Raw genomic sequence first — 25,316 nt, forward strand, 5'->3', positions numbered from 1 at the left:
CATACTGAATGCGCAAAAACTGGAAGCATTCCCTTAGAAAACTGGCACAAGACAGGGATGCCCTCTCTCACCACTCCTATTCAACGTAGTGTTGGAAGTTGTGGCCAGGGCAATCAGGCAGGAGAAAGAAATAAAGGGTATTCAAATAGGAAAAGAGGAAGTCAAATTGTCCCTGTTTGCAGATGACATGATTGTATATTTAGAAAACCCCATCATCGCAGCCCAAAATCTCCTTAAGTGATAAGCAACTTCAGCAAAGTCTCAGGATACAAAATCAATGTACAAAAATCACAAGCATTCTTATACACCAATAACAGACAGAGAGCCGAATCATGAGTGAATTCCCATTCACAATTGCTACAAAGAGAATAAAATACCTAGGAATCCAACTTACAAGGGAGGTGAAGGACCTCTTCAAGGAGAATTACAAAACATTTCTGCTCAATGAAATAAAAGAGGACACAAACAAATGGAAGAACATTCCACGCTTATGGATAGGAAGAATCAGTATTGTGAAAATGGCCATACTGCCCAAGGTAATTTATCGATTCAATGCCATCCCCATCAAGCTGCCAATGACTTTCTTCACAGAACTGGAAAAAACTACTTTAAAGTTCATATGGAACCAAAAAAGAGCCTGCATTGCCAAGACAATCCTAAGCAAAAAGAACAAAGCTGGAGGCATCACACTACCTGATTTCAAACTATACTACAAGGCTACAGTAACCAAAACAGCATGGTACTGGTACCAAAACAGAGATATAGACCAATGGAATAGAGGCTCAGAAATAACACCACACATCTACAACCATCTGATCTTTGACAAATCTGACAAAAACAAGAAATGGGGAAAGGATTGCCTATTTAATAAATGGTGCTGGGAAAACTGGCTAGCCATATGTAGAAAGCTGAAACTGAATCCCCTTCTTACACCTTATACAAAAATTAATTCAAGATGGATTAAAGACTTAAATGTTAGACCTAAAACCATGAAAACTCTAGAAGAAAACCTAGGCAATACCATTCAGGACATAGGCATGGGCAAGGACTTCATGACTAAAACACCAAAAGCAATGGCAACAAAAGCCAAAATTGACAAATGGGATCTAATTAAACTAAAGAGCTTCTGCACAGCAAAAGAAACTACCATCAGAGTGAACAGGCAACCTACAGAATGGGAGAAAATTTTTGCAATCTACCCATCTGACAAAGGGCTAATATCCAGAATCCACAAAGAGCTTAAACAAATGTACAAGAAAAAAATCAAACAGCCCCATTAAAAAGTGGGCAAAGGATATGAACAGACACTATTCAAAAGAAGACATTTATGCAGCCAACAGACACATGAAAAAATGCTCATCGTCACTGGTCATCAGAGAAATGCAAATCAAAACCACAATGAGATACCATCTCATGCCGGTTAGAATGGCGATCATTAAAAATTCATGAAACAACAGATGCTGGAGAGGATGTGGAGAAATAGGAACACTTTTACACTGTTGGTGGGACTGTAAACTAGTTCAATCATTGTGGAAGACAACGTGGTGATTCCTCAAGGATCTAGAACTAGAAATACCATTTCACCCAGTGATCCCATTACTGGGTATATACCTAAAGGATTATAAATCATGCTACTGTAAAGACACAAGCACATGTATGTTTATTGCGGCACTATTCACAATAGCAAAGACTTGGAACCAAGCCAAATGTCCAACAATGATAGACTGGATTAAGAAAATGTGGCACATATACACCATGGAATACTATGCAACCATAAAAAAGGATGAGTTCATATCCTTTGTAGGGACATGGATGAAGCTAGAAACCATCATTCTGAGCAAACGATTGCAAGGACAGAAAAACAAACACCACCTGTTCTCACTCATATGTGGGAATTGAACAATGAGAACACTTGGACACAGGATGGGGAACATCAAACACGAGGGCCTGTTGTGGGGTGGGGGGATTGGGGAGGGATAGCATTAGGAGAAATACCTAATGTAAATGACGAGTTAATGGGTGCAGCAAACCAATATGGCACATGTATACATATGTAACAAACCTGCACGTTGTGCACATGTACCCTAGAACTTAAAGTATAATTAAAAAAATAGAAAAAAAAAACCTAGACAGTGTAATGGAAGAAATGATCCCTTTTTTCTAACCACAGAACTAACTGCAATAGTAAGAAGTACACCTGCCTTATATGAAGAAAACCTGAAAATTCTGCCAAAGATATCCAAACGCGCACCCTCTGTCCTTTGCAATTGTTACAACGTCAGTTCTAAACCTACACATTAATAGATGCTAATAGAAATGCCAATAGGAAATTTCAAAACCACCCAACTGATTAAAAAGTTTAATAAGGGATTCGGGAACCATGCCCTCTGTGGCAAAAGGTTAATTATGTGAAAAATTTAAAGGCCAATTTGGCAATACCTATCAAAATAAAATTGACCTCATATTTTCACTTTTAGAAATTCATCTTCCAGATAATTCTCTAAGTGTGCAAATTTAAATAGGTATATAACTACACATATACATTCATAAGATAATGTATATATGTATGTACAAGGGGTTATTTTTGTAGCATTGATTTTTTTATTGCTTGAACGATCACAAATGGCATTTATTAGGGTTTTTGTTTATTTGTTTGTTCATTTGTTTTTAGACAGGGTTTTATTCCCGTCACCCAGGCTGCAATGGTGTGATCTCGGCCCACTGCAACCTCTGCCTCCTGGGCTCAATGACTCTCCTGCCTCAGCCTTCGGAGTAGCTGGGACCATAGGAGTGCACTACTACACCTGGCTGATTTTTGTATTTTTAGTAGAGACAGGGTTTCATCATGTTGCACAGCCTGGTGATCTGCCTGCCTCAGGCTTCAAAAGTGCTGGGATTACAGGCATAAGCCACCGCGCCCAGCCTCATTTATTACATTTTAATGAAAAAAAGGCATAAAAATCTGTCACAAACACACATACATACACATACACATACACATACACAAGACTTTCTCTATTTCTGAGCATTCTTCCTAAGAAACAACTTACAGGGCAGTTTTTTGTTTTTAAAGACAGGCTGGAGTGCACTGGCTATTCACAGGCTCAAGTGGTCCTCCTTCCTTAGCCCCCTGTAGTTGGGACTGCAGGCGCACATCATCGCACCTGGTATTTTTCCTGTTAAAGTATGTCTGAACCCAGGTTTTCTAGAAGGCAGAGCCTGAGGCAAGAACCAAGTGCTAATACTTTCTTTGGAATGTCCAAGTCTAAGGATTTGAGGGTGAGCAATGAAAAGAAATAAGGCAAAAAATATTGTGACGCAAAGCAGTGTTTCCTCACTGGCTACTGCTTTACAACAAAATGCAGAGACTCAGCAGGTGCCTGGGCAAGCACTTTCACCCAGCATGCAAGATTTCTCTGAAGGAGTTAGAAGGAAGAATTGCATCTCCAAGTAGTCCACAAAAGAGAGAAAATCAGGAATTTTCTCCCAAATTTTCAAGAATTTTCAAAATCCAAGAGAATTTCCTTCCCAGCTGTCCTTTGTCTCTCATTTCTCATTTCTCATCGGTGAAGGTTTACTCTGCCAGGACTCCCCCACACTTCTGGTTTGTGTCATCTGGCTCTTCAGTGGCTCCTCAAGAAGCCAAATCCCATGCCCCAGGGTGTGACTTTTCAAGTCTGAAAGTGGAGGCCAACCTGGTGGTTGGTTTCAACCTAGAGAAAGAAGGAGGCTATTAAGAGGCTCCAAGAAGGCAAACGAGGTCTGTTTCCAATGCAGGCTAGAATACACCTGTCTTGGGCATGCACGTGTTGCTCCTGAAAATAGCGAACCCTCTGGCCTATCTCAGAAATGGCTCTGTAGCTGAAGGGCTCTGAGAAATAATCTGTCTCTCTCTTTTTATTTTTTTGAGACGGAGTCTCACTCTGTCACCCAGACTGGAGTGCAAAGGCGTGATCTCAGCTCACTGCAACCTCTGCCTTCCAGGTTCAAGTGATTCTCCTTCTCAGCCTCCTGAGTAGCTGGGATTACAGGCATGCACCACCAGGCCTGGCTAATTTTTTAATTTTTAGTAGAGATGGAGTTTCACCATGTTGCTCAGGCTGGTCTAGAACTCCTGACCTCAGGTGATTCACCCGCCTCACCCTCCTAAAGTGCTGGGATTAAAGGCATGAACCACCGTGCCTGGCCTGAGAAATAATCTCTTAACCTAGAAATCAGTGGAGAAGCCAAGCTATAAAGACACTTTCAGTTAGGAGTATTTGGCCTCAGTGAATGTAGGTCAGCATGCAGCTAATGAACTGGTTTCCTTTCTGATGTCCAGCACATCCGCCAACTCTGCTGGCTGTAGAGAGGCTTGTAGAGCTGCTGTTTGCAGCCCTGTTTGCAATAGCAAAAAGTTGGAAACAATCTTTTTAAATCAATTATAGAATATCCAAACAAGAACATTCTACCTAGTGGTTGAAAAAGAATGAGGTATTTATGTTCTGACACAGGAATATAGTTGTCTTTTTAAAATACATTTAAAAAAATCAGATTACGTAATGATTCTAATTGTGGAGGGAAAAGATAATATTATATATGCTTGTACATGCATTAAAAAAATTATCTAAGGGTACAGAAAAACATGTTGGAAAATATCATTAGCATGAAAGGTCTGAGGAAACCAGGGGACAAGGGTAGAGGAGATCTTTTTACCTTATGGACATCTATACAATTTGAGTTATTTTTAATGCACACATATTATTTTAAAAATGAAAATAAGAAGCAAAATGAAAAAGTATAACTGAAACATACTTAAAATAGAAACTCTTAAAATATCTTTAAAAGTCTAAGGGGGAGAATAAAATCCACCTGAGATTCTACTAACTAGAGACGACTATTAATATTTTGTGATGTTCTCCATTGAAGATACACAAATGGCTAACAGGTATATGAAAAGATGTTCAGCATCAACAATCATTAGGAAAATGCAAATCAAAACCACAATGAGATATCACCTCACACTTGTTAGGGTGGCTACAGTAAAAAGAAAGACACAAAAGGTAGCAAGTGTTGGTGAGGCTATGGAGAAATTGAAACCCTATGCATTATTGGTGGGGGTGTAAAATGGTGCAGCTAATGCGGAAAACAGTATGGAAGTTTATTTGTGGAAAAACCAACTCAAACTCTGTATTTTTCTGTTCTTATACCACAACAATCAACACAGAAGACTTCTGTGACCAAATACATGGGGGTTTATTCCCAGACACCAAGCAAGCAATCAATTCTGCAGCAGACACCAGCTGGGTGTCCTCCAATTCAAACCTGACACTACCTACCTGGAGATAACATCAGATCCTGCAGGTGGATGGCTCCATCCCCAAGGTTCCCTCCCCTTCAGACACCAGTCGCAAGTCTGTGCCTCCAGAACTTCTGACTGACTGGCTTCAAGTTGGGGCTCCCAGGACTTCCTCTCTGGGTTTTATTAATTTGCTAGAGTGGCTTACAGAACTCAGGGAAACACGTAGATTTGCTGGCTTATTATAAAGGATATTACAAAGGATACAGATAAAGAGATGTGTAAGCCGACGTATGAGGAAAGGGCGTGGAGCTTCCATGCCCTCCCTGGGTGCACCACTCTCCACAAACCTCCACGTGTTCAGCTATCCAGAATTTCTCCAAACCCTATCCTCTTGAGCCTTTAATGGAGTCTTAATTGGATACGCATAATTGAAGCATGGACAATGGTGCCAAAATGTGACTGGAAAAAAGGATGTGATCTGGTGTTAGTTTGAGTGAGGAAACCCAGCAAGGCTTGTCTGTTTAGATTCTTCTTGGCTTCTTTGCAGCATTTTTTCCACCAGGGTAGGGGGCAGGATCCCTTCTGGAATGAGGTTATTATGATTCACGATCAGAAAGGCAGTGAAGATTAGAGTCCTGCTTTGGGCAGGTAAAGGAGGTTCTGGAGAAATTCAGAGACAGAGAGAGAGAGAGAGAGAGAGAGAGAGAGAGAGAGATTCTGTTTTCTGAGGCCTAAAGCACTCTGATATTATAATAAGGGCTGTGAAAGTTATGAGCTGGGAACTATGGATGAAAACCTCTCTCTCTCTCTGTCTCTCTCTCTCTCTCTCTCTCTCTCATAAAATCACAGTGTTTCTCAAAAAATTAAAAATTGAATTTCCTTTTGGTCCAGCAATCCCACTTCTGGATATATATCCAAAAGAACTGAAATCAGGATTTCAAAGCAACATTTGCATTCCCATAGTCATTGCAGCATTACTCACAATAGTCAAAATATGGAAACACACAAATGTCCATCAATGGATGGATAAAGAAAATATGGCACATACATACAATGGAATATTGTTCAGCATTTAAAAAGAAAGAAATCTTACTATTTGTGACAACATGAATGTAACTGGAAGACATTATGGTAAGTGAAGTAAACCAGGCACAGGAGGACAAATACTGCATGAGTCCTCTTATTAAAGCATCTGAAACAGTCAAATCTAAAGAAACAGACAATAGAATAGTGATTACCAGGGGATGTGAGGAGGGGGATATGTGGAGTTGTTGTTCATTGTGTATAAAGTTATAGATATACAAGATGAGTAAGTTCCAGGGATCTACTGTGTAACTTAGTGCCTACAGTTAACAACACAATATTGTGCAAATTTGTTAAGAGGGTAGATCTCATGTTAAATCTTAACACACACACCCCAAACAAACAAATAAAAGCCAAAAACTATATATATATATAAAAAGGAAACTTTTGGAGGTGATGGGTATATTTATTACCTTGATTTTGGTAATGGTAACTTACGTGTATACATATGTCCAAACATGAAGACTTTAATTATATTCCTTGTTTTTTGTATGCCAATTATACCTCAGTAAAACTGGGAAAAATAAGAAAGCCTGGCCGGGTGCAGTGGCTCATGCCTGTAATCCTAGTACTTTGGGAGGCCGAGGTGGGCGGATCACTTGAGGTCAGGAGTTTGAGACCAGCCTGACCAGCATGGTGAAACCCCGTCTCTACTAAAAATATAAAAAAATTAGCCAGGCATGGTGGCACGTGCCTGTAATCCCAGCTACTGGGGAGGCTGAGGCAGAAGAATTGCTTGAAGCCAGGAGGTGGACGCTGCAGTGAGAAGAGATCATGGCATTGCACTCCAGCCTGTGTGAAGGAGCGAGACTCCATCTCAAAAAAAAAAAAAAAAAAAAAGCTTTAAAATGTTTCATGATGTTCCCTCTAGTGTACTTTTTGTACACATAAAGATATACTTTAAATTTAGATGAGATCATATATATGTATAGTTTGTCACTCAATATTTTATTGAGTCAGCATTTTCCCATTTTGGTGGGGGCAGCAGCTAACTCTTATAATCCCAGCACTTTGGGAGGCTGAGGTGGGACAATTGCTTGAGGCCAGGAGTTGGAGACCAGCCTAGGCAACACAGTGAGACCCCATCTCTACAAAAAGTTTTAAAAACTAGCTGGACATGGTGGGTAGTCCTAGCTAATTGGGAGGCTGAGGTGGCAGAATCCCTGCAGACCCAGGACTTTGGAGTTACAGTGAGCTATGATCACACCACTGCATTCCAGTCTGGGTGACAGAGCAGGACCTTGTCTCTAGAAAAAAACAAGAGCAAAGTAAAATATCATTTTTGGTGACTACATAACATTCTGTTCTGTAGCTATATCATAATTTGTTTGCACATTTATCTATTTCTTTTGCTTATCTTCTGAAGCTCTTTTCCTTCATTGGTTAATCAAGCATACTGTCCTTGGCAAAACACTGGGCTCTGATGTCTTCCTAAGATCATGATGAGGATGACCTTGGAGACTGCCTGGCAGGCAGCTGTACCTGCCATGATAGTATCCCTTTAGCGTGACCTCCCCTGATGGCTATTTCTAAAATAGCATTGCCCTTCATTACTCTAGCTCTTTACTCAGCTTCGTATTATTCTTGCTACTGTTGTTAATAGTAGCAGTGGCAATGTAGTCATTGTCTTCTACACTGGTTTACCTGATCATGCCGTCTACATCTTCATTTATCATCTGTCTTCCCACCTGGATTGTAAGCTCCATGACAGCAGGGCCGTGGTGTGATTTTGTTCTCTACTGTATACCCTGTGCCTAGATCAGTGTCAAGTTCACAGTAGATGGTCAATAAATATAAGCATAAAGGATGGAGGATCTTCATTGCTTCTATTCCGCTTTTCTATTAAAAAAGGGAATTGCTACTCAATTCCTAAGTCTAAATACTGTTTAAGCAGCCCTTGTGAAACCAGTATGAAGTATTTCTTGGGTCCCAGCTGTTTGCTGTTAGAATTACCAAATGGTAGACCTAGATATGGGACCCAGTAGGTGATCTAATCCATCCTTTTATAGATGCTATGACAATTTAGGCTCAGCACAATAGTGATGGTTGCAGAAACGAGGGTAGGGAAGAATAAAAGTATTTAACTTCTCAAGAAATTGACAACCTAGATGGAAAGAGAAGATTAAGACACTTGAGAAAATGATAATTTGAGGCCACATATCTCTGTGTCGAATTGTGTGTGTGACTCTATTTCTACCTTCAAAAATTTTATAATCTTGTAAAATACTATTTAAACAAAGGATATATTTACAAAGTTAAATAAAGACAGAAGCAATAAAAATTACTATAAAGGGAGAATTGCAAAGCCAAGGGATTTGGGAACAGACCAGAGGAATCTCATTTTGTCTGGAGGACTTGAGATGGTTTCATGGAGGAAGGGACATTTAAGCTGGTGTCGAGGAGTCTGTAAATAGTGCTGGTTAGAGGTAGGGGTGTGAGGATGAAGGCGTTAAAGGCAGAGGGAACTATGAAAGTAAAGGCATGGCCAATGAAAATATTTGGCATTTTTGAAAAATGGCAACTGTCCTGCACCTAGAAGACAGGGGGTGAGGGATATAGGGGATGTGAAAGGATGAGGAGGGCTGGCCAGAGAGGCAAGGAGGTGTTGGGCCAGAGTGTAACTGTGCTGATGGTTTGGACTGTATCAGCTGAGTAACAGGGAGACACTGAAGGTGTTTTATTAGGGATGTGACAAGATCAGATCTGTGTCTTAGATGATTCTGACAGCAAGGTGAATGACATATTGGGATGGAGTGGGAGGACAGCTAGAAAGAGTGAAATGCTTAGGAAACTTCTGCAGTTGATGGTTACAGAGTGAGCTAGTGAAGATCTAAATTAGAGAGCTCCCTGAAAATGAAGAGATGGTTGTAGAGATAATTCAGAAGTAAACTGATTGGAAGAACTTGGGGACTAGTGAAAGTGCTAGGAATGTTTTCAAGTAAGATGAGTACTAACTATGCCATCAGGTCACAAGAATCCCTAACACATTTCTAGGACCCCAAAACAAAAGCTGCACTTTGAAATGCCCAGATCTGCTAATTCATTTTTTCCTGAACTCCCTTGTCCTCATCCCCTGGCTCCCTTCTCAGAATTTACTCTGAAAAGTCTCTGCCTGAATCCGAAAGGCCTTTCCCAGTTTGCACATAATCCTCCAGTGGACTGGGCAAAGACTTTTCATGGCCATGTTGGGAAAGAGGCCGTTGCAGTTTAGGATGGCAATCCTTAAGGGATGTTCTGGCATTCCCTGGGTTACAGACTTTCTCACAGCCTTGGGTGTGCTCCCACTATTCCCTCTTTTCTTTATAGCTGTCACCCTGTCACTCTCACTAAACTTGTCTGCTGCTCAAACCATACCTATGCACACCATTGGTTTCCATTGCTGATAAGGCTGAGACTAGTTGGATGTGACCTTTTGCTCTTTTCTAAACTGTATGTGCCCTCTTGTTGTTTTCTCAAAATTTCTCCTTTCCAAAAGACTTTCAAAATCTCTTGCCTACCTCTTGTTTGTATGCTGTAGTAGGTGTTTATATTTACTGTATGTGTGCCCTGTGATTTGATTGTAAGCCTCTTGCAGGCTCCGCTCTGCTCAATTCCTTTTTGGTGACTACTAAATGTGTCAAAGATAAACAAAGCTAAATACTAGTTAAAGTGGTAAAGACAGATTTTAATCAGTAATATACTATTGCAATAGGAATAACAGTACAGTGTGAATTGAACTGAACTTTGATTTGTCCAGAGGTGACTGGGTAATTTAAATGGAGAATAAGGAAATAGGGAGTGAGTGAGCAGGGGGTCAGTAGAATGTGGGAAGTGGAGAAACTTACAAAAAGCAGGAAAGGGAGGTTGTCCACGTGAAATTCATCTGGGTTTTCTAACTGGTGCTTACTGAAGTTAGGTCCCTACCCTCCCACAATGACTGGTGGACAGAGGCCCTATCTTCAGGTGTTGACTGGAACAAACAGTAGATTTTTCGCAAATCTTGAGTTTTCTCAGCAGGCACTTTAAGGAAAGCTGGAGCTGTTAGAAGCTATGTTAGTGTTTGTTCAAGTCTTTATAGGTCAAAGTTGGGCCTTAGTCAAGAGGAAGGCTCAAAGGATCCTGGCTCAAGTTTGAGCAAGAAGAGAATCCATGCCACAGTGGGTTATGAAAATCAAGAACAACTGGGAAAATATCCACTGTGGTCTCAATAGAAGATCCTGATAAAAGGAAAGGAACATTACAAGGAAACGAGTTAAGGAATACTTTTAAATACTCTGCCCACTGACAAGGCTGCTAAATTCCATCCACCAAAAACTAGGTGCACCTTCCATACTATATGCTGCTAAAATCTAAACAAAAAACTATGTACCTTATACATATGTGGTCTCTCAGGATAAACAAAAATTGATGTTGTACATTGAATTTTTGTTTAAATATCTTGTACATTAAATTAACTGGCTCCTAATGAAGCATAGAAGTAGTGATTCAGATTGACTTGTCATTTAATACATTGTTTCCTTAGAATGAAAAAAAGAGACTGTTTCTTCCAAATATTTAGCTTTATCATTTAAAAATAGTTATATAATAGTCCATTAGCCTTTATTATTTGCACTTTGTAAATGTAGTAGGTTCCCTTTTGATTTTCTGCCTCTATTTGAAATTGGTCATTTGACTTATTTACTTGGTATTCTGGTTGGCTGTTATTTATGACTAGTGACATAGTGACCCTCTTTTCTCATACGATGTTCATCGTTAACTCTTTCCATGGTCCAAAAGGCCAAAAGAGGAGGTAGATAAGTATGGGATAAACTTCAAGGCTTAATGTACTTTTTAATGAAAACATAAGGATAAAAGAAGTAGATAATGTGTGATATTGTGGTTTGTAGGAAATGAGTGTTTTTTAAAAAATTAAGATATAATTTAAAGACAGTGAAATAAAGAGATCTTAGGTGTGTAGTTAAACCAGTGTTAACAAATGCACATGTCCATACAGCTCACACCCCTCTCAAGATACGGATGTATTTCATCAACTAAGAAGTTCTCTCACGCCCTTCCCAGTCAATCCCTGTCACTTCTGGAAGCCACCACTATTCTGATTTCATCATGATGTTTTTTTTCTGCTATAGAACTTCATATATCTGAAATCACACAGTATTACTGTTTTGTATCTGACTTTTTTCACTCAGTATAAAATTTCGGAGATTCATTCAGATTTTTACATGTATCAGTAGTTTGTCTCTTTTCATTATTGAATAGTATTGCATTGTATGAAAATACCACAGTTTATTCTATTCATGGACACCTGGGCTGTTTCCAGTCTTTGGCTCTGATGAGTAAGACTGCTATGAGCGTTCTCATGCAGAGCTTATTTGGACAAATGTTTTCATTTCTTTTGAAATGAATGAATGTTTTCATTTCTTTTGAAATGAATGAATGTTTTCATTTCTTCGGAAACTAGGATTAGAATTGTTGGGTCATAGGACAGATATACCTTTAACTCTTTAAGAATGTGCCAAACAGTTTACATTTCCACCAGTAATGGCAAAATTTCTGTTTGCTCCACATCCTCCTGAACATTGGTGTTTTTAATCTTTTATGTTTTAACCGTTCTAGTGAGTTTGCAATGACATCTTACTGCAGTTTTAATTTACCTTTCCCCAGTGACTAATACTCTTAAGCACTTTTCCATGTGCTCACTGGTTTTCATGTATCTTCTTTTGTGAAGTGCCCTTTCAAATATTTGCTCATTTAAAAGCTGAGCTGTCTTTTTATTGCTGCATTATAGGGGTTCTTTATATATTCCAGTCAAAAGTCCTTTGTCAGATTTATATGTTGTAAATACTTTCTCCTGAACTTTGACTTGTCTATTAATCTTAATAGTGTCTTTTGATGAATAAAAGTTTTAAATTTTGATGAAGTCACAATTTATTATTTCCCTTTATGGTTAATACTTGCATTCTCTCTAAAGAAACCATTGCCTACACAAGGTTGTGAAGATTTTTAAAATATTATCTTCTAGAAGCTTTATAGTTTTAGCTCTTATATTTACGTTTATGATACATCCAGAATTAATTTTTGCATGTGGCTTAATATAGAGGTAAAGTTCTCCCCCCGACCGCCACCAGGGCCCTAATTTTGATACTTATTTCAGTACCATATATTGAAAAGATTTTCCTTTCTCCATTGAGTGTCTTAATATCTTTTTAAAAATCATTCGACTCCGGCATACGTGTAGCTCTACATCTAGGCTCTATTCTGTCCTATTGGATGTACTGTTTATCCCTTTGCCAATAATATACTAACTGTAGCTTTGTGGTAAGTCTTAAAGTCAGGTAGTGCAATTCCTTTAACTTGATTTTGTTTTGGCTATTCTAGGTCCTTTGCATTTCTATATAACTTTTAGACTCAGTTTATCAATATCTACAAAAAAGCATGAAGTCTTGATAGACTTCAAAGCAACAATTCACCCTCCTTGGAAATATTTAAAGATGTCTATATTAAGCTGTTGGGAAAACAGATGGGGAAAAGATTGTGGAAGTACAGAATGAAGCAGCTGATGAGCACTGAACTTCTTTTAGGGGATGAGAGTGTTTTGTGGGCTCAATCTCCCAGTTCCTGCTTTTTCTTTTCTTTTCTTTTTTTATTATACTTTAAGTTTTAGGGTACATGTGCATAACGTGCAGGTTTGTTACATATGTATACATGTGCCATGTTGGTGTGCTGCACCCATTAACTCGTCATTTAGCATTAGGTATATCTCCTAATGCTATCCCTCCCCCTTCCCCCCACCCCACAACAGTCCCCGGTGTGTGATGTTCCCCTTCCTGTGTCCATGTGTTCTCATTGTTCAATTCCCACCTACGACTGAGAACATGCGGTGTTTGGTTTTTTGTCCTTGCGATAGTTTGCTGAGAATGATGGTTCCCAGCTTCATCCATGTCCCTACAAAGGACATGGACTCATCGTTTTTTATGGCTGCATAGTATTCCATGGTGTATATGTGCCACATTTTCTTAATCCAGTCTATCATTGTTGGACATTTGGCTTGGTTCCAAGTCTTTGCTATTGTGAATAGTGCTGCAATAAACATATGTGTGCATGTGTCTTTACAGCACCATGATTTATAATCCTTTGGGTATATACCCAGTAATGGGATCGCTGGGTGAAATGGTATTTCTAGTTCTAGATCCTTGAGGAATCGCCACAGTGACATCCACAATGGTTGAACTAGTTTACAGTCCCACCAACAGTGTAAAAGTGTTCCTATTTCTCCACATCCCCTCCAGCACCTGTTGTTTCCTGACTTTTTAATGATCACCATTCTAACTGGAGTGAGATGGTATCTCATTGTGGTTTTGATTTGCATTTCTCTGATGGCCAGTGATGATGAGCTTTTTTTCATGTGTTTTTTGGCTGTATGAATGTCTTCTTTTGAGAGTGTCTGTTCATATCCTTTGCCCACTTTGCCCACTTTTTGATGGGGTTGTTTGTTTTTTTCTTGTAAATTTCTTTGAGTTCATTGTAGATTCTGGGTATTAGCCCTTTGTCAGATGAGTAGGTTGCAAAAATTTTCTCCCATTCTGTAGGTTGCCTGTTCACTCTGATGGTAGTTTCTTTTGCTGTGCAGAAGCTCTTTAGTTTAATTAGATCCCATTTGTCAATTTTGGCTTTTGTTGCCATTGCTTTTGGTGTTTTAGACATGAAGTCCTTGCCCATGCCTATGTCCTGAATGGTATTGCCTAGGTTTTCTTCTAGGGTTTTTATGGTTTTAGGTCTAACATGTAAGTCTTTAATCCATCTTGAATTAATTTTTGTATAAGGTGTAAGGAAGGGATCCAGTTTCAGCTTTCTACATATGGCTAGCCAGCTTTCCCAGCACCATTTATTAAATAGGGAATCCTTTCCCCATTTCTTGTTTTTCTCAGGTTTGTCAAAGATCAGATAGTTGTAGATATGTGGCATTATTTCTGAGGGCTCTGTTCTGTTCCATTGGTCTATATCTCTGTTTTGGTACCAGTACCATGCTGTTTTGGTTACTGTAGCCTTGTAGTATAGTTTGAAGTCAGGTAGCATGATGCCTCCAGCTTTGTTCTTTTGGCTTAGGATTGACTTGGTGATGTGGGCTCTTTTTTGGTTCCATATGAACTTTAAAGTAGTTTTTTCCAATTCTGTGAAGAAAGTCATTGGTAGCTTGATAGGGATGGCATTGAATCAATAAATTACTTTGGGCAGTATGGCCGTTTTCACGATATTGATTCTTCCTACCCATGAGCATGGAATGTTCTTCCATTTCTTTGTATCCTCTTTTATTTCCTTGAGCAGTGGTTTGTAGTTCTCCTTGAAGAGGTCCTTCACATCCCTTGTAAGTTGGATTCCTAGGTATTTTATTCTCTTTGAAGCAATTGTGAATGGGAGTTCACTCATGATTTGGCTCTCTGTTTGTCTGTTATTGGTTTATAAGAATGCTTGTGATTTTTGTACATTGATTTTGTATCCTGAGACTTTGCTGAAGTTGCTTATCAGCTTAAGGAGATTTTGGGCTGAGACAATGGGGTTTTCTAAATATACAATCATGTCATCTGCAAACAGGGACAATTTGACTTCCTCTTTTCCTAATTGAATACCCTTTATTTCCTTCTCCTGCCTAATTGCCCTGGCCAGAATTTCCAACACTATGTTGAATAGGAGTGGTGAGAGAGGGCATCCCTGTCTTGTGCCACTTTTCAAAGGGAATGCTTCCAGTTTTTGCGCATTCAGTATAATATTGGCTGTGGGTTTGTCATAGATAGCTCTTACTATTTTGAGATACGTCCCATCAATACCTAATTTATTGAGAGTTTTTAGCATGAAGGGCTGTTGAATTTTGTCAAAGGCCTTTTCTGGAACTATTGAGATAATCATGTGGTTTTTGTCTTTGGTTCTGTTTATATGCTGGATTACATTTTTTGATTTGCATATGTTGAACCAGCCATGCATCCCAGGTATGAAGCCCACTTGATCATGGTGGATAGGCTTTCTGATGTGCTGCTGGATTCAGTTTCCCAGTATTTTATAGAGGATTTTTGCATCAATGTTCATCAGGGATATTGGTCTATTGGTCTAAAATTCTCTTTTTTTGTTGTGTCTCTGCCAGGCTTTGGTGTAAAGATGATGCTGGCCTCATGAAATGAGTTTGGGAGGATTCTCTCTCTTTCTGCTGATTGGAATAGTTTCAGAAGGAATGGTACGAGCCCCTCCTTCTACCTTTGGTAGAATTCAGCTGGAATCCGTCTGGTCCTGGACTTTTTTTGGTTGGTAGGATATTAATTATTGCCTCAATTTCCGAGCCTGTAATTGGTCTATTCAGGGTTTCAACTTCTTCCTGGTTTAGTCTTGGGAGGGTGTATGTGTTCAGGAATTTATCCATTTCTTCTAGATTTTCTAGTTTATTTGCATAGAGGTGTTTACAGTATTCTCTGATGGTAGTTTCTGTTTTTGTGGGATCGGTGGTGATATCCCCTTTATCATTTTTTATTGCATCTATTTGATTCTTCCCTCTTTTCTTCTTTATTAGTCTTGCTAGTGGTCTATCAATTTTGTTGATCTTCTCAAACAACCAGCTGCTGGTTTCATTGATTTTTTGAAGGGGTTTTTGTGCCTCTATCTCCTTCAGTTCTGCTCTGCTCTTAGTTATTTCTTGCCTTCTGCTAGCTTTTGAATGTGTTTGCTCTTGCTTCTCTAGATCTTTTAATTGTGATGTTAGGGTGCCAATTTTAGATGTTTCCTGCTTTCTCTTGTGGGCATTTAGTGCTATAAATTTCCCTCTACACACTGCTTTAAGTGTGTCTCAGAGATTCTGGTATGATGTTTCTTTGTTCTCATTGGTTTCAAAGAACATCTTTATTTCTGCCTTCATTTCGTTATGTACCCAGTAGTCATTCAGGAGCAGGTTGTTCAGTTTCCATGTAGTTGAGCGGTTTTGAGTGAGTTTCTGAATCCTGAGTTCTAGTTTGATTGCACTGTGGTGTGAGAGACAGTTTGTTATAATTTCTGATCTTTTACGTTTGCTGAGGAGAGCTTTACTTCCAACTATGTGGTCAATTTTGGAATAGGTGTGGTGTGGTGCTGAAAAGAATGTATATTCTGTTGATTTGGGCTGGAGAGTTCTGTAGATGTCTATTAGGTCCGCTTGGTGCAGAGCTGAGTTCAATTCCTGGGTATCCTTGTTAACTTTCTGTCTCATTGATCTGTCTAATGTTGACACTGGGGCGTTAAAGTCTCCCATTATTATTGTGTGGGAGTCTAAGTCTCTTTGTAGGTCACTCAGGACTTGCTTTATGAATCTGGGTGCTCCTGTTTTGGGTGCATATATATTTAGGATAGTTAGCTGTTCTTGTTGAATGGATCCCTTTACCATTATGTAATGGCCTTCTTTGTCTCTTTTGATCTTTGTTGGTTTAAAGTCTGTTTTATCAGAGACTAGGATTGCAACCCCTACCTTTTTTTGTTTTCCATTTGCTTTGTAGATCTTCCTCCATCCTTTTATTTTGAGCCTATGTGTGTCTCTGCACGTGAGATGGGTTTCCTGAATACAGCACACTGATGGGTCTTGACTCTTTATCCAGTTTTCCAGTCTGTGTCTTTTAATTGGAGCATTTAGTCCATTTACATTTAAAGTCAATATTGTTATGTGCGAATTTGATCCTGTCATTGTGATGTTAACTGGTTATTTTGCTCGTTAGTTGATGCAGTTTCTTCCTAGTCTCAATGGTCTTTACAATCTGGCATGATTTTGCAGTGGCTGGTACCGGTTGTTCCTTTCCATGTTTAGTGCTTCCTTCAGGAACTCTTGTAGGGCAGGCCTGGTGGTGACAAAATCTCTCAGCATTTGCTTGTCTGTAAAGGATTTTATCTCTCCTTCACTTATGAAGCTTAGTTTGACTGGATAGGAAATTCTGGGTTGAAAATTCTTTTCTTTAAGAATGTTGAATATTGGCCCCCACTCTCTTCTGGCTTGTAGAGTTTCTGCCGAGAGATCCGCTGTTAGTCTGATGGGCTTCCCTTTGTGGGTAACCCGACCTTTCTCTCTGCCTGCCCTTAACATTTTTTCCTTCATTTCAACTTTGGTGAATCTGACAATTATGTGTCTTGGAGTTGCTCTTCTCGAGGAGTATCTTTGTGGCATTCTCTGTATTTCCTGAATCTGAATGTTGGCCTGCCTTGCTAGATTGGGGAAGTTCTCTTGGATAGTATCCTGCAGAGTGTTTTCCAACTTGGTTCCATTCTCCCCATCACTTTCAGGTACACCAATCAGACGTAGATTTGGTCTTTTCACATAGTCCCATATTTCTTGGAGGCTTTGTTCATTTCTTTTTATTCTTTTTTCTCTAAACTTCCCTTCTCGCTTCATTTCATTCATTTCATCTTCCATCACTGATACCCTTTCTTCCAGTTGATCGCATCGGTTCCTGAGGCTTCTGCATTCTTCACGTAGTTCTCGAGCCTTGGCTTTCAGCTCCCTCAGCTCCTTTAAGCACTGCTCTGTATTGGTTATTCTAGTTATACATTCGTCTAAATTTTTTTCAAAGTTTTCAACTTCTTTGCCTTTGGTTTGACTTTCCTCCTGTAGCTCGGAGTAGTTTGATCATCTGAAACCTTCTTCTCTCAACTCGTCAAAGTCATTCTCCGTCCAGCTTTGTTCCGTTGCTGGTGAGGAGCTGTGTTCCTTTGGAGGAGGAGGGGCGCTCTGCTTTTTAGAGCTTCCAGTTTTTCTGCTCTGTTTTTTCCCCATCTTTGTGGTTTTATCTACTTTTGGTCTTTGATGATGGTGATGTACAGATGGGTTTTTGGTGTGGATGTCCTTTCTGTTTGTTAGTTTTCCTTCTAACAGACAGGACCCTCAGCTGCAGGTCTGTTGAAGTTTGCTAGAGGTCCACTCCAGACCCTGTTTGCCTGGGTACCAGCAGCGGTGGCTGCAGAACAGCGGATTTTCGTGAACCGCGAATGCTGCTGTCTGATCGTTCCTCTGGAAGTTTTGTCTCAGAGGAGTACCCGGCCGTGTGAGGTGTCAGTCTGCCCCTACTGGGGGGTACCTCCTAGTTAGGCTGCTCGGGGGTCAGGCGTCAGGGACCCACTAGAGGAGGCAGTCTGCCCATTCTCAGATCTCCAGCTGCGTGCTGGGAGAACCACTGCTCTCTTCAAAGCTGTCAGACAGGGACATTTAAGTCTGCAGAGGTTACTGCTGTCTTTTTGTTTGTCTGTGCCCTGCCCCCAGAGGTGGAGCCTATAGAGGCAGGCAGGCCTCCTTGAGCTGTGGTGGGCTCCACCCAGTTGGAGCTTCTGGGCTGCTTTGTTTACCTAAGCAAGCCTGGGCAATGGTGGGCTCCCCTCCCCCAGCCTCGCTGCTGCCTTGCAGTTTGATCTCAGACTGCTGTGCTAGCAATCAGGGAGACTCCGTGGGCGTAGGACCCTCTGAGCCAGGTGTGGGATATAATCTCCTAGTGTGCCGTTTTTTAAGCCCGTTGGAAAAGCGCAGTATTGGGGTGGGAGTGACCCGATTTTCCAGGTGCCGTCTGTCACCCCTTTCTTTGACTAGGAAAGGGAACTCCCTGACCCCTTGCGCTTCCCGAGTGAGGAAATGCCTCGCCCTGCTTGGGCTCGTGCACAGTGTGCTGCACCCACTGGCCTGCGCCCACTGTCTGGCACTCCCTAGTGAGATGAACCCGGTATCTCAGATGGAAATGCAGAAATCACCCATCTTCTGCGTCGCTCACACTGGGAGCTGTAGACTGGAGCTGTTCCTATTCGGCCTTCTTGGCTCCTGTCCCCGAATAATTATTGTTTTTAATTTCAGGACTCTTAATATCAGCCATCCAAGATAATGTCTGTAAAGGACTACCTGTCTTCCTTTGCAAACACAAAGTTCTGCTGTCTGATCTCATTCTTGAAACATTTGTCTCAGGAGATGTCCCTTTGTTAAACTATCCCTGGTGAATACAGATAGGCAAATCACACTGAATTCTTCTTCCTTCTAGTACACATCAGTTTTGGTACAAATGAAATCAGATTAAAATGAATATCAAGGAGAACATTAAAAGTGGGGAGAACAGAAGATTTAAAATGAAGATCAAAAACAACTGATGGTCTTTTATCCTCAGTCTTTATACTTTTTCTGGGCAAACTAATTCATGTTCACGGCTTCAATACCATTCAATATTGACAACTCCCATCTCTCAGACTAGCTGTTTCTCAGATATCTCAGATTAAACATGTTCAAAACAGAGCTCACTGTTTTGTCCCCACTCCCCCAAAATCCATCTCTTTCCGTATTTCCATCTCCCCAGCCACCAATGAAAGACACCATTTGATCTCTTCCTCTGCTACAGAGTCTATTGAGTTGATTCCTAAATTCACCTAGTCTTTTCTCTTTGTCTCCTTTCCTGTTTCTCCTGCATTAATCCAGGGTTTCATCATTCAGTTGCAATACTTTCCTCACTGGCATGCATACTTTGCCCTAATCCTACCCACCTTCATTCATTCAGAACAAAAATGTGGTGCTTGTTGGATGCCAAGAAGTGGGGCAGGCCCTGGAGATATCAGGAGCACTAAGACACAGCCCTGGCCCTCAAAGGGCTCCTCATCTAATGCAAAGGGTAGATGTACAAACAAATGACTGGAGAATCAATTGAATTATCATAATTGCAGTGATAGAAATATGCCCAGCGTATTATGGAAACATCTGGAAGGACACAGGACCCAGCTTGGGTGATATATATGTATATCTATGTGTGTGTGTTCTGATGAGCAAAGACTTTCTATAAGGTGGCTGGGCTGGGATTTACGGGAGGAGGAAGGTGTGGGTGAGGTCGTGAAGATTGAGGAGAGGAAGAGAGATCAGAGGGGAAGGACATTACAGGCTGAGGAACCATTCTATCAAAACCACAAGAGCAAGGAACAACATGATGTGTATGAGGATCTGCAAATATTTTTATATTCTGGCATGTAAAGTGCCTAGTAGAAGTGGTGAGAGATGAGACTGTGTAAGTAGGCAAAGACCAGATCACAGAGAGCCTTGCGTTAAGAAGTTTATACTTAATCTGGAGAATACAGGAGTTCCACTGAAGGATCTATGCAAGGAAGTAACACGGACACGTTATCATTTTAGGTAGATTATTCTGGTAATAATGTGGAGGACAGATTTGCAGAAACATCTGCAAATAGATGTAGAATAAAACCTGAACTAAAATAGAAGTGGGCATGGAGTTGGGAAATATACAGGCAATAAAACCAGCAGGACCTGACAATTGATTCAGTGTCTTGTTTTGAGGAAGGGAGAGGAGTGAGGGTAACATGGTTTTCTGGGTTGGGTGTGTGGAGGTGCCATCTTAGAGCTAGATAATGTGAGAAGATGTGCAGATTTGGTGGAAAAAATGATGAAGTCACTTTTGGATGAGTCTGAAATGGTTGTGGGATGTCCAGCAGGCAGCTGGAAAAAAAAACTATCTGAAAAGGAAGGGACCTGGCTTCAGATGTCCCTGCCAGCAGTCATTAGTCACCTGCATCTGGCTGTCCCCCTAAGGTGCCAAGTGGTAGCAGATGCAGCCCTGGATGGACAGGTGCAAAGTGAAAGAAATGCCAGTTCTCTGGAAAGGCTTCTGTGGGTTTAAAGCCTAGCTCCATAATTCTTGCTCTTCAGTCTACTCCTGCAAAAATGACAGATCTGTTGGCTAGTTAACAGTGAATTTCGTTGATTCTGGTACCTTGGACTCTAGGAAGACAGTAAGTTAAAAATAGAAAAGATGTCTTAAGACCTTTTTTCATATAACAGACTTATTTCTGATGCTTTTTGCCCCTGAAACTTGTTTATTAGAATTTATCCAGCCTGTCTGGAGGGTGAATAAAGTAGACCTAAAATAAAGACAATTTCTCCCTTGATTGAAGGAGGAGATTGGGCAGCACAGAGAGAGGGGAGAGAAGGTGGTGCAGAGAGCCTTCAGGCAGGCCACAGATTCTCAATTTGTTTAACCTGGTCTTCATTTGAGGCCATAATTTTTCTTCAGTCTTTTTCTCATTGTCCTGGAGTTCTGTCCTTACAATTTCATTAAACATTCAACTTTACTGGGACCTTACTATGTGCCTAGTACTGTTGAATGTGCTTGAGATGTAAAAATGACCAAGATACAGCTCTTGTTCTTAAGAAATTCAGCTTGGAATAGCAGTTCTCAATGCCAGCTGCACTCTAGAATCACCTGGAACTTTAAAAACATCCTAGTGCCTGGGCCCCACGCTAGACCTATTAAATCCAAATCCCTGGAGTAGAGTTTCAACACTAGAAGTTTTTAAAGACCTTTTTACTAAAATTCAAGTGTATATAAAGATAAAACAGTATAATGATGGCCTCTCCCCCATGTACATGTCACCCAGATGAAACAATTATCAAATCATGACCAATCTTATTTCTTTTATAACTTCCCTCCCTCACTCCAACTATTAAATTATTTTATGGAATAAAATAATTTAAAAAGTATATAATCTCATTTTTTATTTCTTTGATATATAGCTTTAGAAATTGTTTTCAAAACACAATATCTTGATCATACCTAAAACAATAAATAAAATTGCTTACATCATCAATAACCTGCCAGTTGTCAAATTTCCTCAATAGTCTTTTTTTTTTTTTTTTTTTTTGAGACCAAGTCTTGCTCTGTGGCCCAGCTGGAGTGCAGTGGTGTGATCTCTGCTCATTGCAACCTCTGCCTCCTGGGTTCAAGTGATTTTCCTGCCTCAGCCTCCTGAGTAGCTGGGATTACAGGGGTGTGCCATCACACCTGGCTAATTTTTGTATTTTTAGTAGAGATGGAGTTTCACCATGTTGGCCAGGCTGGTCTCCAACTCCTGACCTCAAATGATCCGCCTGCCTCAGCCTCCCAAAGTGTTGGGATTACAGGTGCGAGCCACCGCACCCAGACTTCAATTATCTTATGAAAAGTTTTTGCTGCCGTTTTATTTGAATTAGGTCTAAGTAGTATCCATACACTGCATTTCGTTAACACGCCTCTTACATTTCTTTTAATCTAGAGATTCCTCCTTACTCATTTTTCTCTTCTTCACAAGTTTTTTTTTTTTTTTTTTTTTTTTTTTTTTTTTTTAAAGAAAACCGGTCATCCAGGCTTTCTTTAATGATGAGAAGAAATGGAAGTATTTGCCTGTTCACATTCTTGAATGCTATAGGGTTCTCCAAGTTGTAGATTAGAAAATGCTTTAATTTGAACTCTGAAACATTTCCAGGCAAAAGCAGCATTACATGGTCTTTGTATGCCTTGAATCTTGGCATTGTCTTGGATGTGCGATGAATGTATGTATGCTCCAGCATACAAACATTCTGTTTCTGAAACAAACTTCAGAAAAAGTTTGTTTCATTGGCATTAAACATTTGTTCTGGTAAATATTTCTCATCCACAATTATCCTATGCAGCTCTTTTTTTCTTTTCTTTTCTTTTTTAAAGCTTTAAGACATTCAATATGGCATTTGCTGCCTCACTGCTGATCTTCACATTATGAAAATTATGAGCCATTTGAAGCACTGGAACAGCCCATGACTTGCTATAAATATTTGCATATAGGTGGGATCATCAGAATGTTTTTTAGTGTATAAAAAAGAGTAGAGGCCGGGTGCGGTGGCTCACCCCTGTAATCCCAGCACTTTGGGAAGCTGAGGCGGGTGGATCACGAGGTCAGGAGATCGAGACCATCCTGGCTAAAATGGTGAAATCCCATGTCTGCTAAAAATACAAAAATTAGCTGGGCATGGTGGTGGGCACCTGTAATCCTAGCTACTCGGGAGGCTGAGGCAGGAGAATGGCTTGAACCTGGGAGGCAGAGGTTGCAGTGAGCTGAGATCGCGCCACTTCACTCCAGCCTGGTGACAGAGCAAGACTCTGTCTCAAAAAAAAATAAATAAATAAAAAAATTCTTGCCTTAGCCTGGATTGTCTGCGGTTTAAGTGGTACTTAAACTATATCTGATACTTCTGTATCTGGTCTTCCATCCATGTGACAAGTATTTTTTCATATCATCAGTTGGCGCAGCTCTTTTCTTCCTAACAACAGTGAATTTAACCAATATGGATGATTTCACTGCATCACTGATTCACTTCTTATCCTTTGAGATGGTTGAGATTGTGGATGTGAAAGTCCTAATTCAAATGCAGTGGCTATTACTGGCTTGTCACGTTCATGCTGGGCAATTACTCTTGAGTTTTATCTTGAGAAACTCAGAAGTAATTTGCCTTCCTCTTCTTATCAGAAGCAGGAGAACACGGATGGGCATTTTGTAGACATGGTAAGATGTGGAAACACAAGACTCAATATTCAAAAAATGCTGGCAACACAGTAGTACACTGTAGAGTATCGGCTGTTTACCCCTGTGACCATGTGGTTGGCTGGGAGCTGTGGCTCACTGCCGCCACCCAGCATTGCGAGTGAGAATTGTACTACATATTGCTCGCAGGAAAAAGATCAAAATTCAAAATTCAAAGACAGTTCCTACTGAATGCGTATAGCATTTGCACCATTGTAAAGCTGAGAACCAAGTCGGGGACTGTCTGCATTTTCTCCTCTAAAAAACTTCATATTTCTTAACTGTTCACAGAAAAGGCTTATACAAAATAATCAATTTGGGAGCAATGGCACCTTTAAGCCCAGACTGTAGTCTCTAAACATTGCTTCTCACCAAAAAAATCCCCAAGCTCCTTGGAGAAATGAACAGTCCAAGTCTGGAGCAGGAAAGGAGATAAGCCTAGAATTTCTCTGTCTTTCTCGTATGAACTGTACCTCAAGATATACAAGGAGTGGATGAAGAAAAGTTCTTTATAGAAAAATTCTAACTAATAAATGAAAAAGGAATAAAATAATTCGATTATAGCCATTTTGTAACTTTTAATGAGATAATGGATCTAAGTAAAATATGTTTAGCTTCATTTGTTTCATCTTACCTATTTTACAATTTTATTCTAAAAGTAGTAAAAATTTTGGGATCTGCCTTATCTCAGTCTTTAGGATGTTCTTTGCCTGCCTCTAACATTCCTGTATCTTGAGTAGCAAGTGGTCAGGCTGAAGTGAAAATTCTTTAGTCATCACAAGGAGGTTGTACTGTTATCATGGGTGCCGGTTCAGCCTTCTCGTCAATGAAGCTACCCCTTCCTGGGAAACTCCTGCCAGGTCATTAATAACAACAAAGGAATTCTATTCCAGGAGGCCTTACTCCCTGGGTCTCTTGCTGCTGAAGACTTTATGGGATTTCCATGAGCAATTAGTGATTAACTATCCCAACAGCTGGCCATGTTGCTCCAAGAGGATTTGTCCTGCTACCTAGTTGGACTTTGATCTCTGATCTGTTGATTACTACTTTAATCCATTTTGTGCTGCTCTATTAGGATACTGAGACTGGATAACTTATAAAGAACAGAGGTTTATTTCCTTCTTATAGTTGTGGAGGCTGGAATGTCCAAGATAGAGAAGACTGCAATTGGCCAGGGCCTTCTTGTTGTGTCATCCTATGGTGGAAGGCAGAAAGGTGAGAGGGAGAGAAGGAAGAGGGGAAGGGGAGCTGAATTTATTCTTTTATTAGGAACCCTCTCCCACAATAACAATAGTCCGTTCATGAGGGTAGAGCCCTCATGACCCTAATAACCTCTTAAAGCTCCCACCTCTCAACACTGTTGCATTGGGGATTAAGTTTCCAAAACACAAACTTTGCAGGGGACACATTCAAACTGTGGCGATTTCCTTCCAGAAACGTATGGTGGCTGCTTGGCCAGATGCCCAGCTCACTGCACTAGTTGAGTGCAAAAATGGATAAATTGGCTACGTAGAGTTATGTCAGGCTTACTAGCACAAGATCCATGAGAAAACATTCATGGACACAGGGTTGGTGTCCCATTGTCCATCCTAGACAGAACTAAACACAAGACATCCTCATCCTTGTGTTGTGAGGC

General features: G+C 40.3%; 2 annotated features.

Annotated features, from left to right (window-relative positions):
- Positions 18,288-18,789: an enhancer, noted in NCBI's record as "H3K4me1 hESC enhancer chr6:53270163-53270664 (GRCh37/hg19 assembly coordinates)". NCBI's record gives its function as "activates a minimal SCP1, AML or CMV promoter by ChIP-STARR-seq in naive and primed H9 embryonic stem cells {active_cell/tissue: H9 hESC(naive and primed)}" and the evidence as "EXISTENCE:reporter gene assay evidence [ECO:0000049][PMID:30033119]".
- Positions 18,790-19,289: an enhancer, noted in NCBI's record as "H3K4me1 hESC enhancer chr6:53270665-53271164 (GRCh37/hg19 assembly coordinates)". NCBI's record gives its function as "activates a minimal SCP1, AML or CMV promoter by ChIP-STARR-seq in primed H9 embryonic stem cells {active_cell/tissue: H9 hESC(primed)}" and the evidence as "EXISTENCE:reporter gene assay evidence [ECO:0000049][PMID:30033119]".

Source organism: Homo sapiens, chromosome 6 (assembly GCF_000001405.40).
Source record: "Homo sapiens chromosome 6, GRCh38.p14 Primary Assembly".
In the NCBI taxonomy this organism is placed as follows: Eukaryota; Metazoa; Chordata; class Mammalia; order Primates; family Hominidae; genus Homo; species Homo sapiens.